Genomic DNA, 13,655 nt, shown 5'->3' on the forward strand with positions numbered 1-13,655 from the left:
TCTTTAGTTGATAAGGCAAGGAATGAAATGATGTGAGAACTAAAGGTTCTTATTTGGGGGATTTGGGATGTTCCCTTCTATGTTAGTTCTGTAAGATGGAAATTCTTTGCTCTGGACCTCACAGAGCACTGTACCTCCCTGAGATGCTTAGGACATCAGAGAAATTAACAGAAAAGCTAGAGCCTCCAATCAGAAAAGATCACAAACAACAGAAATGCCCCCACATAATAAAGAGTGCTTGTATTAGGATACAGTAGCAAAATCACCCCCACATCACAGTGGTTTATTCTGACCAAAGCATTTATTTTCATTCCATTTACATAGGAGGTGGCATTGTAGAAAATAAAAACTTTCTCAAAGAGATATGAATTAAAGAAAAGTTAGAGTAAGGTGAATACTTATTTAAACATACCTTTAGAGTGAGGGTAAGCCCCCTTCCCAACCCAAAATGAACTGAATGAGAGAGAAAAAGAGGTCCAGAGTAGTTTGTGGAGCGATGTTTCCATCTCTAATGCCACTCAGCTCAGGAGCAGGCTTCAGACACTGCCTTTATCTTTACAGAAAGCCATGGGAAGGGAAATGTCTGAGGTAGAGCTCAGCGTTGGGCATCATATGGCTAATCACTCAGAGGTCACTAATCACTCTCCCTTTTCTTGTTTTTCAGTGAACGAGATAATTGGGAGAGACATGTCCCAGATTTCTGTTTCCCAAGGAGCAGGGGTGAGCAGGCAGGCTCCCCTCCCGAGTCCTGAGTCCCTGGATTTAGGAAGATCTGATGGGCTCTAACAGTGCTTACTGCAGCCTTGTGTCCACCACCAACTTCTCAGCATGTTTCTCTCCTTGGACCTTGGGTTTCCAACTCTGCAGCCTTCAGGTCTGGGGCCAGGAGTGGGACCCACCATTTGTGGGGAAAGTAGCATTCCTCCACCTCAGGCCTTGGGTAGATTTGGCAAAAGAACAGGAGCAGCATAGGCTGTTTGAGCTTTGGGGAAATGAACTTTGCTTTTTATATTTAACTAGGATACTTTTATATGATGGGTGCTTTGAGTGTGAATGCAGCAGGCTCTCTTGTTTCCGAGGTGCTGCTTTTGCAGGTGACCTGGTTACTTAGCTAGGATTGGTGATTTGTACTGCTTTATGGTCATTTGAAGGGCCCTTTAGTTTTTATGATAATTTTTAAAATAGGAACTTTTGATAAGACCTTCTAGAAGCAAAAAAAAAAAAAAAAAAAAAAAAAAGAAAAAAAAAGAAAAGAAAAAAAGAAAAAGAAAAAAATATCCCAAGCCCACACCTATGCCTCAGAAAGTCAGCATGTGTCCTGAAGACGTTCATAGATTTATAGGAAATAAAGCCAAATGTAGCTCATACCTCTTTATAAAACTAAACTGTTGTTAGATAAAATGAGAAGAGACCATTCCATCATTGAAGTGTTGGAATATAAAAAGACATTCCAGAGCATAGCCTTTTGGTAACTTTCTAGGTAATCTTGCAATCTCTCCATACTGGCTCCATGTTGAAATTGCTTTTTCCCTCAGGACCCTGGGTAAGATGGCTACATTTAAGGTGACTCTGAATGGTGGGGTTCTAGCTTGGTCACTTTCATTTCTTGCCATCATAAAAACTAGTAGGCTGTGGAGTGCGCTTCCTGTTTGTGTCATCTGGTCGTAGAACCTTTTCCAAACAGAAGCATCTGCCTTTGGCTGTTCTGTGACCTTTGAAGCCAGTCTCAGTGGTTTAGGCAGCTTTGCAGTTCTAACTCTAGCTAGAGGCCAGGCTGTGTGCAGAGCTAAAGCACAAATGAGCAGTACATCAGCATGGGCAGAGAAAATACAGGACTCCAGATGGGAAGGTTTTAAGAGTCACACTGGCATGGAAGGCTTATCTGCCATTCTATTTATAGCCTGAAATGATTCTGGCCTACCCTGTCCTGTCTGTATGATCTAAAAACCAGCCTTTTCCCCAGAAGGCTCTGAGCACATCCAGAAGTGATAACCTGACCCTCCACACCAAAGACACCCTGGTGCTGCTGCTGGTGAGACTGGTGTCCAAGGCAGGGCCCAGCAGAAACTGCAGCCTGCTGTCTACCAAAGGAGGTACCCGAGTTGGGTACTTTAAAAAAAAAAAAAACCTGCCCTTACCCCTCTCCCTAATGGGATTTTTTTTACCTGTTCCTGGGCCCATTACAGAGCCTCTGAAGTTTGCAGTATGCTTTCAAATGAAATAATATACTTCCATTGATTCAGGAAGCAGATTTTTTGAGTGCCTATATGTGAGACAGTGTGCTGGTTGAAGGCCTGATGCTGTTATTCCAGGAGACTGCAGGCCCTTGATGCCAGGACTCTCTCTACTAAGGCCAGTTCAGGTCTGGGAAAGGGAGCTGGCCTATTGCCCACCACCTGTTGTCAGTAGGTTAGGAGCTGTTGACTCAGGATGAGGAAGTATGGTCTTTAAAAAAAACAAAATATATTTTAGATTTCTCCCCTAAAGTTAGTTAGAGAAAAAGGTCTATTCTTCAGCAGATCACTGTGGCCCCTCTTGGAGCTGGGTGTTTTCAAATTTTCTTGAAAAGTGAGTTGTGTCACAGAATGTGGATAGTGAGATTTGCTTCTGGGCCTGTGGTTGGACGCCCACAGCTTCCTTTGGAGGGGCAAGAAGTTGGCCTCTCGGTTGACATTCCAGAGAAATGGCCAGACTTGCCCCTACCCTTTTGCCCCTGGTGTAGCTGCCTCACATGAGGTTATTGCAAGAGTTCCCCTTGCAATACCCTTTGTGCCCTCAAGAATTAAAAGCCTCTATGATCCAGAGTTGCTATGCACCAAATTTTGATGCCTTCTAAATACCTTGATGCCTGTAGCACTAGAAATGCTTTCCTATTTAAAATAAACATTAAATTTTAAAATAGAGCTTTGTATACTATGTAAGCAGTTTTATATCAGCTTTGTAAAAGCTTTGGTGTTAAGAGTCAATATTTTTTGGCTTTGTAGATAAAGACTTAAATTTTTGTGCAACATAGTGGTGTTAAAGCACACATCCATTGGACTATGCAAATCAATTTCTACTAGCAGCACTGAGCAACTGGGCACGTGCTAGTACGCACCCCCTCCTACTCTAACTGTGCTAGCTCTTGGGTTGAGGAATGGAATGGGTAGCCTTCTGCTTACTGGAGATGCACAGAGAAACATGGCTGAAAACAGCTTTAAAAAGAACATGTCTTTGGGTTCATGTGTGGTGCTGCTGCCCGGGTGTAAACTATCCCCACCCAGGGCCAGCCATTATCACCAGACCTCTTCTGGGCCTGGCTGTGAAGCCCTGTTTTTGGTATTCAGAATGGATCTTTAAGGCTCAGATGGGCTCAAATTGAAACCTTGTGTTTTATAAAATGGATGTTTAGTAAAGGAACTGGTTCTCAGTTATGTTTACAGCACTTGGAATTGTGTGTTCTTGTACATTTTGTATTTTAAAACCTTTTATGGGAGTGCAGTGCTCCTTACACAAATACAAAGGGAAGAAGAGCCAGCAGTTGAGGCTCCTCAGTTTTAGTGCTGAAATAATAAACAGTGACAGGTCAACAGTATCCTTAATCTGTCTGAGTGTTCCTCCGCCTGGGGTTGGTGTGGAGCCCCTCACTTTGGGGCAAAGTTAAGGGTCCTGTGTCTTTTAAAAAGTCCATTTGGTCAATAACTTTTCATTTAAGGAAGAGAAGATCGAGTTCCAAATTGCTTCCGAGGCTTCAGTTCTGTACCATTTAATGCGTGCAAAGGACATTCCATGGTGTCTGCTGGGTTCAGGGCAACTGGCTTTCCCAAGGCATACAAGAAAAGTTGGCAGAAAGTCCTCCCCTTTAAAATTCAAGCCTGAAGGTTTTGTGTGGGGGCCTACTGCCCCCTAATGTCTTCTGGTGATACTGCAGCACAGTCCATCAAAATAGTTTGTGGTTTTGCCATCTGTTACTCCTTATGCCCACCTGGAGAGGGGCTAGCATCTTTAGGTGGGACCACCCCTGGCACAACATGGTCTCTGAGGTCCAGATACTCTGAGGGTAGGGGCTGGCTCTCTCTGCCTCCCTATCCCCTACAAGAGGGACAGGGAGAGGTAGAACATTGGGATCTTTACTCAGAGGCTCAGATGGACCCTTGATTCTCCCAGGAGTCATACATTGAAGGTACCAGAGCTTCCATTTTATAAAAGAAAGCAAGCCTGCCGTGGACCTGTCAGCCCCACGATATCTGTCGGCATGGGCCACAGCCAGGACAGACTTAAGGGCTCTCCAGGTGCCAGTCAAGATGCCTGGCTCAGGCCATCAGGAGCTGGTTAGCCCCATTCCACCCCCAGCCCTGCATGCAGGGTCCAGCCATTGTCTTTGGGGGAAACAGGCAGAATAAGTGGAGGATGGAGCTGGGGCTTGGGCTCCTCTAGGTACCTTCTGAGAGCTTTGACAAGCCAGAAAGAAGCTACCAGGTTGAGGGTGCTGGTCTTCTGGACTCAGGAGAGACATGTTCGCCGAGGATATCAGCTGGCTCTTACCTCCTGGCTTTCTCTCCTACAAACACACCCATTCCTTGGGGGCTTGTAACACAGTGCGAGGTGGGTCACCAACAGGCATCAGACTGGTGTAGTCATCAGCGGGTAGCTACAGAAGGGACACAGATTTAGGGCAGAGAGCTCAGCCAGACCCGCCAGGCCCTCCGGCCACACAATCTCACCTGGTAGGCCTGGAAGACGCTGAGCAGATCCTTCATACCAGCCGTGTATGGGACACCCTGCATGCGGACCAAGGCTCCTGACTGGGACAACACTGAGGTGGGAGCAGAGGCCAGGGCAGCAGTGGGTGTAGTGAGGTAGCCCACAGTGGTGGGGGAGACTGGGGGGCTAGGGTGGGAGAGACAAGGTTTAGTCATGCATGCCACCTGTGGCCTAGACCGAGACCTGTTTCCCTCCTCCCTTGTTTCTGCCTTGTGCTTAATTCAGTTCCTCCCTGAAGCCCCAGCCTCTACAGAGTCATTTTCGATCTGTTTTGTAGATGGCATTAGCCAGCTGCCACCTTACTCCCTTGTCATCTCAAGGGAGGAGTTATCTGGTCCAGAAAGGGGATCGTGACCTTTCCCCAGATTGGGACAGGGAGTGGGACTGTGATATTCTCTTAGCTGCAGGGTACCTTGGGTAGTAGGCTGTGTAGTTCAGGTAGAGTTGAGTGGCTGGCCCTGGATAGTAGGCAACAGGGGTGGGGGCAGCAGGCACCCTGGCAGCTGGGAGCAGTGCTGAAGAGGGGTATAGAGCTGCCGTCTCCGTGGGAATGAGCGTTGGGGTGGCTTGGAAGGTGGTGTAGGTAGGTGGTGAGAGGCCTAGAGACGGAAGTAGAAAGTGCATGTGCACGGAGCCCAGCACTGCCCTGGGTGGGGTAGCCAGAAAGGAGTCCCCGCTATAGAAGGTAGGGGCTTACAACAGCCTGGCTACCACAGGCCTCCTCCTCCCCTAGCCCCTAGGGCACTCACAGGGCAGCTTGCAGGGTGGAGGGGACATGCCACTGCGGCCCAAGGTGCCCCCCATCAGCACTCGGCTCATCTCCTCTGTGGAACAGGGGACCACCTCCACGTAGCGCTCCTTCATCACCTTCTTATGGCAACGCTGAGCAGCAGCTAGGGCTCGCTCTGCTGATGTCATCTGAATGAAGGCATCGCCCGATGGCCGGCCCTGTGCACACCATCTTGTGAGCAGTTTGTCATGTGTAAGAGTGCCTTACCCCTAACACACACCCCTTCCTATTTATGTGTTCCCCCTACCAAGCAGTGGCTTCACCTGCTGGTTGAGCACCATGTGTACACCGTGGGGCCGAATGTCAGCTGCTGCCTCCCCCAGAAAGCTCAGGATGTCTTCAATGGTGGCCGTGTAGGGCAGGCCTCGGAGGCGTACACAGTCCCTCCCAGTCCCAGGTGCCAGTGGGAAGGGGATGGGCAGCAGTGGGGCAGTCAGTGTAGGAAGGAGTGGGCCGGATGCATAGCGGTTCAAGACCTAGTAAGGAAGGCAGCAACAGGCTGGTCATGCCAAGTAGGGCAGGGACACAGAGGGCCGCCCTGGAGTAACAGTACATCTGGGGGTGGGGAGCCCTGGGCGCTCACCTGCTGCACTTCGGCTGCAGTGCTCCGGAAGAGTTCAATGTATCGCTTACCCAGCATGCCCTTGTGCCTGCGCAGTGCAGCCTGTGCCAGCTCCTCACAAGCAAAGAGGGCGAAGGCATCACCAGTCGGCCGGCCATCAGGATGGCGCACAAAGAGCAGCCCCTCGGTACCCCCAGTCACTGGGCACTCTGGCCCCAGGAAGCCAAGCACGTCCGTTGGCCCAGCCGAGAAGGGCAGTCCCCGCAGCCGCAGGATCACTTGGTCTTCCCGTGACAAGAAACGAGCCACCTCTAGTGATGTGCCTGTGTATGAGAGTCGCCTGCTGACTTCACTCATGCTCCTCCAGACACTCACCCATGCAGGGGAGCAGGCAGGCAAGGGGTGGTGGGGAAGTGAAATGGATCAAGAACCAGGGGAGCCAGGCCCTGTTTGCAGTATACTCACCCCCTGCAATCTTTACAAACTCCTCCCCTGTCGCTTTATACACCTGTGGGTACAGAGAGCAGCAGCCCATGGGTCTCAGGCCTGACTCAGATTGGCCCTGCTCCGCTCCCAGCCCAAAGCCCCACCTCAATATAGCGGACGCCCATGTGGTGCTTGTGTCTCTGCAGCGCTAGGTCCCGCTGCTCGCTGTCCACAAAGCGGATGAGGGCCTCGCCATTTCTGCGGCCCTGGGCGTTGAGGCAGAGTGCTACACCACCCCTGTGGAGCCAGTGCTGTTAGTGCCTCCTGGGTAGGCCTGTCCAATTGGGCCCACCCACCCTGCCACACCCACCTGGCCACGTTGAGCCCTTTGAAGAAGCGAGCCACGTCCTGGTCTGATGACTGCCACGGCAACCCACGAGCCCGTACCACAGTCTCACTGTCCACCACATCAGCCTTGCTGCTGTAGGGGCAGGGCACAGTGCTGTCAGAGCTATTCAGCTGTTGTCACCCCCAGCCCCTGCTCCCACACTCACCAAGGCCCCGTCTCGTATTTCTGCTTTATCACCTCGGGCTTCGAAAACAATTGACCTGAGAAAAGATGGCCTGGGGGTCAGCAGGGTCTGGTGGAGAGGGGTGTCCCCACCAAGTTCTGCAAAAAGTGGACAATTGAGAGAGATGAAGAAATGACAGGCCGAGCACAGTGGCTCACGCCTATAATCCCAGCACTTTGGGAGGCCAAGGTGGGTGGATCATTTGAGGTCAGGAGTTCCAGACCAGCCTGGCCAACATGGTGAAACCCCATCTCTACTAAAAATACAAAAATTAGGTGGGCATGGTGGCAGGCGCCTATAATCCCAGCTACTCTGGAGGCTTAGACAGGAGAATCGCTTGAACCCGGAAAGTGGAGGTTGCAGTGAGCTGAGATTGTGCCACTGCACTCTAGCCTAGGCTACAGAGGGAGACTGTCTCAAAAAAAAAAAAAAAAAAGAAATGACAAAGAGGATTCCCCCGTGGTCTCTTAGAGAAGGTCACAGTGGGGAGGAGCAATAGGCATTTGTCATCCCTGAGAACAGGTGACAGGCAGTGAGGGAAACCTTACTGCTGGGCTCTTTGAGTAGATGGAGGATAACAGCTACCATTGTCTTGACTTCCCAGACCCCAAAGTCATCCTCTGTGGCATCTGTCTCCAGTCCTAAACCTATGGGCAGAGAAGTGACAGTGAAGACATCTTAGCATAAGCACTAATCCTGTTTACTCCTGGGCCCAACTCCCCTCCATAGACACATGCTGGAGACCAGCATACACATTTGTTTTGGCCCAGTTCATGTGTGCACATACAGATTCCCAGTCCAGACATAGACAGACACATACCCACATTCCAAACTCATCCTAGCACAGACACGAAGACACAGTACACTCAGGGACTTAGCAGATAACGCAGTCTTGTATGTGTCCATATTACCCACCCACAGCATGCACATACTCAGACACATGTACCCACAGTGGCTTCTCCACCCTAACCCTGCTGGGTCACAGATACCCTGTGCCATGGTGGCCACAGTGAGGTCCCTGGCAGGGCAGGTGCTTGGATGCTGCATATGGAATTCTCTTCGGAGGTCATAGAAGGAGAAGAACATGTCGGGGAGCACCAGGTTCTGGGGGCACATAGGATTGAGGATGAGCGCCCTGCCCACCCTCAGGACAAGAGGGGTTCTGGGAACCTTACTGACCACCCCACCCCACCCGGTTTTCCTTCAGGAGCATACCTTCCTGGAGGCCTCGGGGTGCAGGACCTGTCGCAATAGCTGCTGCCCATCAGTGCAGAGCATGTAGGGGCCCCCGCCCAGCAAAGCCACATCCCCGTTCACCAGCTGTGAGAACTGGGGATAGGGAATGGGGAGAGAGAAACACACAGATTCACAGCTGGGCAGGCAGGAAGTGAGGGTAGGAGGAAGGAGGCAGGCTGCAAAGCTGGTTCAGCCAGATGTTCAGCCCTATCCTGCCTGGGAATAAGAGGCCACGCCTGTTGAGCCTAGCCCTATGTCCCTTCCCCTCACCCCCCAACCCTGTTCCAGTCCACTGTCACCTCCTCCAGGCCAAATGAGGGCAATCACATATAACCGAAGCCCTCAACACACACACTCCAGGAGTTTGGAGTGGGGCCAGAGCAAACACCTGGAGTGGGACAAGCAGGTGGGAAGGGGCGGGGCAAAGCAGGTTAAACCTGTCTTTGACCGGGTACCACCCTCAGACAGGTGGGGGAGGCCCAGGCCTGCCTGAGGCCCAGAAGGCTCATGGTCAATGGCAGCCCCGCCTCCAGGTCTGACCAACCGAGGGGCAGAGAAACTCCAAGGACAGAGCTCCACACTTGGACATCAGGGGCAGCATGAGCTTTGACCCACATCCTATTGACCGGCTGGCACTGAGCTGTTTGCTCATAGAGGGGGTGGCACTCCTGAGGCTGCCCAGCCCTCCCCCAGCCTCCATCCTTGCTGGAGAAGTATAAACACTAATCAGTGACCCACGAACCCTCCCTGCCAATTCTGTGACACTTTACAACTTGGGGCTGACAGAGCAAGGCAACCCAGCTCTCCTCCAGCAAACTCCCCAAGTGAAGGGCCGGGAGCCCTTCTGGAACAGACAAGGAATCATCATCGTGGTGCCTCCTCATCAGGAACCACAAGAGTTGTTGGAAGATGAAAGAACGTGAGTGTATAAAAAGGACTTACACTAATTACACTCAAGAGTCAGACATAGAATGAGCGCCGTAGTGAAGATAAGGAAAAGAAAACAGCAATGGAAACCACCTCCCACTTCAGCTAGGGCAGGAGGCACCCCAGGCCTTTGCACTCAGCAGGCAGATAGTCCCCCAGGCCAGGCCGGGACAGCGCCCACGCCTGGCCAGCCGGCCGGGACAGGCCTAGACGAGCAGTTTACACCTGGCGGCGTCTACCTCTAGGGCCGACACCGCCCTACGCCTCCGCTCCAGCAGCTCCCAAGCAGGCCGAAGACGCGGGCCGCAAGGACAGGTGACCTATATGGGCCCCTCGACCCCTTTCGCTTCCGGCTGCGGCTCAGGGAGACCTGACCCAGCAGGTCTCCCAAAGGCGTCTCGGCCTCGCTCCCCGGGCGGGAACTGGGGATGGATCCCAAAGCCTGCGTCCCGATCCCTTCGGTAGGAGTAGGTTCCTGCAATGGTTGAAAAGTAAGGAGCCCAGGGGAATGGCTGGCACGCGCGGATGAAAGGGGCACGCACACGCGAGAGTCGCTCAAAGTTTCAAACAAGAGCCCAGTCCTGCCGCCTGGACCGGTTGGTTGCGGCACGCCAGGCCTAGCCTCCGGCCGCCAATCCCGCCCAGAAATGTCCTCACGTCCAGGCCATGCCGCCACCCACCCCGGCGCTCACCTGCTGCAGCACCTTGTCCAGCGGCTCTGCCCGCGCCAGGCTGTCGGCGCTCAGGCCGCTCGCCTCGCGGCACTGCGTACTCAGTGCGGCCGCCTCGGCACGAACCAGCGATTTGTGCAGCGTCCCCACCTGTGAGCGGCGGGGGAAACCGATCAGCCGCGCCCCTCGACCCCGGAAGCTCCCTGGGGACCTCACCGCCTCTTTTCCACCCTACCTGGCGGCTCCGCGGCTCAACCACTTGCCAAACTAGGAGGATTAAGTCGGTCTCGTCCGAGCCCAGGTCCCGTCCCAGCGCACCCGCCGTAGCCCCGAAGAGGACGACCAGTGATCCGGGCCAGGGGCAGGGGTCCGCGGCGGGGTCGGCCGCGGGGTCAGGGCCCGGGGGAGGGGGCGGCGGCGGCGGCGGAGTCATGGCCGCAGAGGAAGGGGGCTCTCGGCCAGACACGCGGACCGACGAGGCGCACGCACGCACCGACCGACCGCAGACGCGGATCAGCTTGGGCGGGACACCGTGTATCGGGGGCGGCACCTGCGGCCCGGCTGGCTCAGTGGGCGCTGCCAAGACCCGCCCGTGGCGCCCCGCGGGGCGGGGCGGCTACCGGCCCACGCCCTCTCCAGGCGAGTTACCTGCCGGCCCCGCCGGCCACGTGACCGGGGCGGCTCCGGGAACCTTGGGGGAGGGCCGCCAGAACTCAACCCAGGACGCAAGAGCTCACGCTCCCGGCCTGGGCGCACGCTTAGGATCCGGATTCCTACTTCCAGGGCTGGTCCTGCCTGATTTTGGGGGCTAACCCATTCTTCCGCTCTCCCCCCACTCTTCCCCAGGGGTCGTCAGGCCTCTGCAAAGGAGCGTGCAAGACAGAGGCCTTCTCCAGTATGGAAGTCACCAGGAGGCAGTCTAGGGGCTGTGGGGGTCAACACGGCAGGTCTGGGGTTGATGGAAGTCAAAGGGTCAAGGGGGCGGTGAGAGTTGCCGGGTATCACCCTGTAGGGGGATCACCAGAAGTCACCTGGGAAAGGGGAGGGCGGCGGGAACATCAGCGTTGTTAGAGCTGTGGGGTGGTCACCAGGGATCACAGGGAAGGGCTTGTCCACGCAGATGCTAGGGCCGAGCGCTAGCCTGGCACTGAGAAGTGCCAGAGCGCGGTCGTTGTGGGTTGGGAGTGGGCAGGCCTCAATGCTGGGGAAAGGAACCCCCCAAATCGCAGAGAGCTGCACCCTAGACGAGGCTGAGAGGGGTAGAACGGGCCTGGAGCCTCACTCCTACCCCACGTGTGGGGGCCTGCCTGCTTTCGTCCCTTTCTGGACGGTGGAGAAGCTGCCTGGAGATTGCGAGCGCTCTGGCCGATGGGGGGCTAGCGTTGAGCGTGTGTGCGCGCATGCGGGCTGCAGATCCTCCCTTTTCCATCCCGCACCTACAACCCAATTGACAGCCCCGCATTTGGGGCTCCCATTCCTCCCTTTGCCCAGTGGAGCTTGGTGAGGCTCCTTTATGGCGCGTTTCCCGGCCGTTCCTTACTTTCCCAAACTCTCCCAGGGAGGTGACTGAGAAACTGAATAAGTGACTGAGAAACTGAATAATCCAGCAGGAAGGAGGGGGCTCCAGCGTGGCGGGAACTGAGTCACGCGGTTGCCTAGCCCGACTCGAGACTGAGACGGGAGCCGCACCACGCGCTTTCGGACAAGGAGGGTGCTGCGGCCCGGCCCCTGGACAATGGAGAGAGCGGGGCACCCGGGCGCATCACCAGAGCTCATGCCCGGGAAAGGGGCGAGGCCCGGGGGGAGAGAGCTCAGCGTAGCTCCACTTGGCAGCTAAAGAAACAGGCGCCCGGGACGGAAATGACTCGCGCCCGGACACGGCGACAGGGAGAGCATGGGAAGTGCTTCCTTCGCCCGGCGGGTTCGAGCGAGTAGCACTTTACTTTCCCTACAGGTGGAGGCGGGCCTTGGTGCGCGGCTGTCCATCTCCGGACCGCCCACCCGGGCACTGGCCCATGCGTCTCCTCCCCCGGAAGCGGTAAGCGAATCAGGCGCGGGGGAAGGGAGAACGTTGCTCCTCGGGCCCCTCCTCCCGATAAGCCTGGAATGTCAAATATTTGTTCGCGGGGCGGGGCGCAACCGCGAGTAACGCTCCTCCCCCTCCCGCCCGGTAGGGCGCCTGCGCTTGGTGGAGGCGGCCCTTCCTCCGGCCACGCCCTTCCAGCCAACTCCCCTAAACCAGTGGCCCTAACCGCCGCATTCCTAAAGCTCCACAGAAGCACGTCGCTTCCTCCTTGGCTCCTGTCTGGGTTCCACTCTTACAGCACAGGGTCACAGCGTCCCCGCCCGAAGGTCTGGGCGCTACTCGGTCTCCTTCTCGCCCCTCCTGGCGACCTCATCTGTGCAGCCTCTAGGCCCTTTTTCCTCTTCAGCCTGAGTCTCGACGCCCGCTCTTCCCGGAAGCCACCTTCGCGAGGTGACTGCTCCATTGTGGCGTCTCTGGCAGTCCTGAGCGCTTTCCCACGGAAGACGCGCTTATGCGTGTCCAAGTCGCCGCTGGGTCGTGAACCTGAGGCACGGGCTGGTAGCACAGTGCGGCTCCCCTAAACTACCCCGGATGCCCATCCGGCTGCCCCCATAGCAAGACAACTCCTGCAACTTAGATTCTTTTTATTTTATTTTATTTTTTTAATTTTTATTATTCTTTTCTTTGAGACGGAGTTTTGCTCTTGTTGCCCAGACTGGAGTGCAATGGCGCGATCTCGGCTTACTGCAACCTCCGCCTCCTGGGTTCAAGCGATTCTCCTGCCTCAGCCTCCCAAGTAGCTGGGATTACAGGCGTGCACCACCACGCCTGTATTTTTTTAGTAGAGACGGGGTTTCACCATGTTGATCAGGCTGGATGGTCTCGAACTCCTGACCTCAGGTGATCCACCCGCCTCGGTCTCCCAGTGCTGGGATTACGGGCGTGAGCCACCACGCCTGGCTAATTTTTGTATTTTTTGCAGAGACGGGGTCTCGCCATGTTGACCAGGCTGGTCTCGAACTCCGCCCACCTCGGCCTCCCGAAGGGCTAGAATTATAGGCATGAGCTACCGTGCACTCAGCTCCAACCCTTGCATTCTTCTTTAAAAACCAAATTCGTTTAAATACTGGGCAGGAGGGTGGGGTCCTGTTTTGCTGAGATCCCTTACTCATCTTCAGATGAGTCCTTCCAGATGACCCCATTATTACTAAACAACCCACACTCCTGACCCCAACCGACCCTCATTGCTTCTTTCTGCCCCCCAACCCCCCAACTTAACCAACTTATAACACGATTTATTAATCGTGTATTGTCTCCCCGCTCCATCATCCTATCCTCGAAGATAGAGGCTTACCCCCAACGCCTGTCACTGAATGAATGAACTGTTGTCTAAGGCTAGCTTCTTCTGCCACAGGGTATTTCAGCAATGGTAAGACACAGGCCTTTGCAGTAGGGTCTCATCTGTGCCCTTTCCTCCTCTCCAGCCCTACCCCTTCTCTATCTAGGGCTCCAGCTCTTCCTCCAGAATTTTTTTTTTTTTTTTTTTTTTTTTGAGACAGAGTCTCGCTCTGTCCCCCAGGCTGGAGTGCAATGGCATGATCCCGGCTCACTGCAACCTCCGCCTCCTGGGTTGACGCGATTCCTCTGCCTCTGCCTCTGCCTCAGCCTCCCGAGTAGCTGGGACTACAGGCGCGCGCCACCA

The 13,655-nt window shown here is 54.5% G+C and overlaps 2 protein-coding genes and 1 non-coding gene across 9 annotated transcripts in view, besides 8 other annotated features; 1 reads left to right on the forward strand and 2 right to left on the reverse strand.

Annotated features, from left to right (window-relative positions):
- The window catches only part of NFATC3 (nuclear factor of activated T cells 3), a 143,890-nt gene extending 140,316 nt beyond the window's left edge, over positions 1–3,574 (forward strand). For all 3 annotated transcript variants that reach the window (NM_004555.4, NM_173163.3, NM_173165.3), the window contains one exon: positions 665–3,574. Coding sequence is in view for 2 of the 3 variants with exons in the window: in NM_173165.3 (NP_775188.1) it covers positions 665–786 (122 nt within the window). In the remaining variant the exon portion in view is untranslated. The remainder of the gene's footprint in view (positions 1–664) is intronic.
- Positions 1,752–1,801: an enhancer, noted in NCBI's record as "active region_11008". NCBI's record gives its function as "activates an Ori minimal core promoter by ATAC-STARR-seq in GM12878 lymphoblastoid cells {active_cell/tissue: GM12878}" and the evidence as "EXISTENCE:reporter gene assay evidence [ECO:0000049][PMID:35858748]".
- On the reverse strand, positions 3,348–10,442 carry ESRP2 (epithelial splicing regulatory protein 2). 5 transcript variants are annotated; one of them, XM_005256153.6, is made up of 15 exons: positions 10,163–10,442; positions 9,949–10,077; positions 8,309–8,422; positions 8,083–8,197; positions 7,642–7,740; positions 7,076–7,130; positions 6,892–6,999; positions 6,686–6,818; positions 6,561–6,603; positions 6,117–6,418; positions 5,797–6,009; positions 5,493–5,691; positions 5,156–5,342; positions 4,704–4,869; positions 3,348–4,630 (listed from the first exon to the last, which is right to left on the reverse strand). In XM_005256153.6, the coding sequence occupies exons 1-15, from the start codon at positions 10,358–10,360 to the stop codon at positions 4,541–4,543; spliced, it is 2,151 nt and encodes a 716-aa protein (XP_005256210.1). In that variant the 5' UTR covers positions 10,361–10,442; the 3' UTR covers positions 3,348–4,540. The 5 variants fall into 5 exon arrangements, with proteins under 5 accessions (XP_005256210.1, NP_079215.2, NP_001352193.1 ...); NM_024939.3 differs by having other exon boundaries at positions 6,892–7,002; NM_001365264.1 differs by having other exon boundaries at positions 6,892–7,032.
- Positions 7,741–7,814, reverse strand: MIR6773 (microRNA 6773). The gene has a single exon (NR_106831.1). It is a non-coding gene; the product is annotated as a microRNA 6773 (primary transcript).
- Positions 10,390–10,619: a silencer, noted in NCBI's record as "silent region_7641". NCBI's record gives its function as "represses an Ori minimal core promoter by ATAC-STARR-seq in GM12878 lymphoblastoid cells {active_cell/tissue: GM12878}" and the evidence as "EXISTENCE:reporter gene assay evidence [ECO:0000049][PMID:35858748]".
- Positions 10,641–11,229: an enhancer, noted in NCBI's record as "H3K27ac-H3K4me1 hESC enhancer chr16:68270229-68270817 (GRCh37/hg19 assembly coordinates)". NCBI's record gives its function as "activates a minimal SCP1, AML or CMV promoter by ChIP-STARR-seq in naive H9 embryonic stem cells {active_cell/tissue: H9 hESC(naive)}" and the evidence as "EXISTENCE:reporter gene assay evidence [ECO:0000049][PMID:30033119]".
- Positions 11,230–11,817: an enhancer, noted in NCBI's record as "H3K27ac-H3K4me1 hESC enhancer chr16:68270818-68271405 (GRCh37/hg19 assembly coordinates)". NCBI's record gives its function as "activates a minimal SCP1, AML or CMV promoter by ChIP-STARR-seq in naive H9 embryonic stem cells {active_cell/tissue: H9 hESC(naive)}" and the evidence as "EXISTENCE:reporter gene assay evidence [ECO:0000049][PMID:30033119]".
- Positions 11,818–12,406: an enhancer, noted in NCBI's record as "H3K27ac-H3K4me1 hESC enhancer chr16:68271406-68271994 (GRCh37/hg19 assembly coordinates)". NCBI's record gives its function as "activates a minimal SCP1, AML or CMV promoter by ChIP-STARR-seq in primed H9 embryonic stem cells {active_cell/tissue: H9 hESC(primed)}" and the evidence as "EXISTENCE:reporter gene assay evidence [ECO:0000049][PMID:30033119]".
- Positions 11,930–12,019: a silencer, noted in NCBI's record as "silent region_7642". NCBI's record gives its function as "represses an Ori minimal core promoter by ATAC-STARR-seq in GM12878 lymphoblastoid cells {active_cell/tissue: GM12878}" and the evidence as "EXISTENCE:reporter gene assay evidence [ECO:0000049][PMID:35858748]".
- Positions 12,050–12,149: a silencer, noted in NCBI's record as "silent region_7643". NCBI's record gives its function as "represses an Ori minimal core promoter by ATAC-STARR-seq in GM12878 lymphoblastoid cells {active_cell/tissue: GM12878}" and the evidence as "EXISTENCE:reporter gene assay evidence [ECO:0000049][PMID:35858748]".
- Positions 12,407–12,993: an enhancer, noted in NCBI's record as "H3K27ac-H3K4me1 hESC enhancer chr16:68271995-68272581 (GRCh37/hg19 assembly coordinates)". NCBI's record gives its function as "activates a minimal SCP1, AML or CMV promoter by ChIP-STARR-seq in primed H9 embryonic stem cells {active_cell/tissue: H9 hESC(primed)}" and the evidence as "EXISTENCE:reporter gene assay evidence [ECO:0000049][PMID:30033119]".

This window comes from Homo sapiens, chromosome 16 (genome assembly GCF_000001405.40).
Source record: "Homo sapiens chromosome 16, GRCh38.p14 Primary Assembly".
In the NCBI taxonomy this organism is placed as follows: domain Eukaryota; kingdom Metazoa; phylum Chordata; class Mammalia; order Primates; family Hominidae; genus Homo; species Homo sapiens.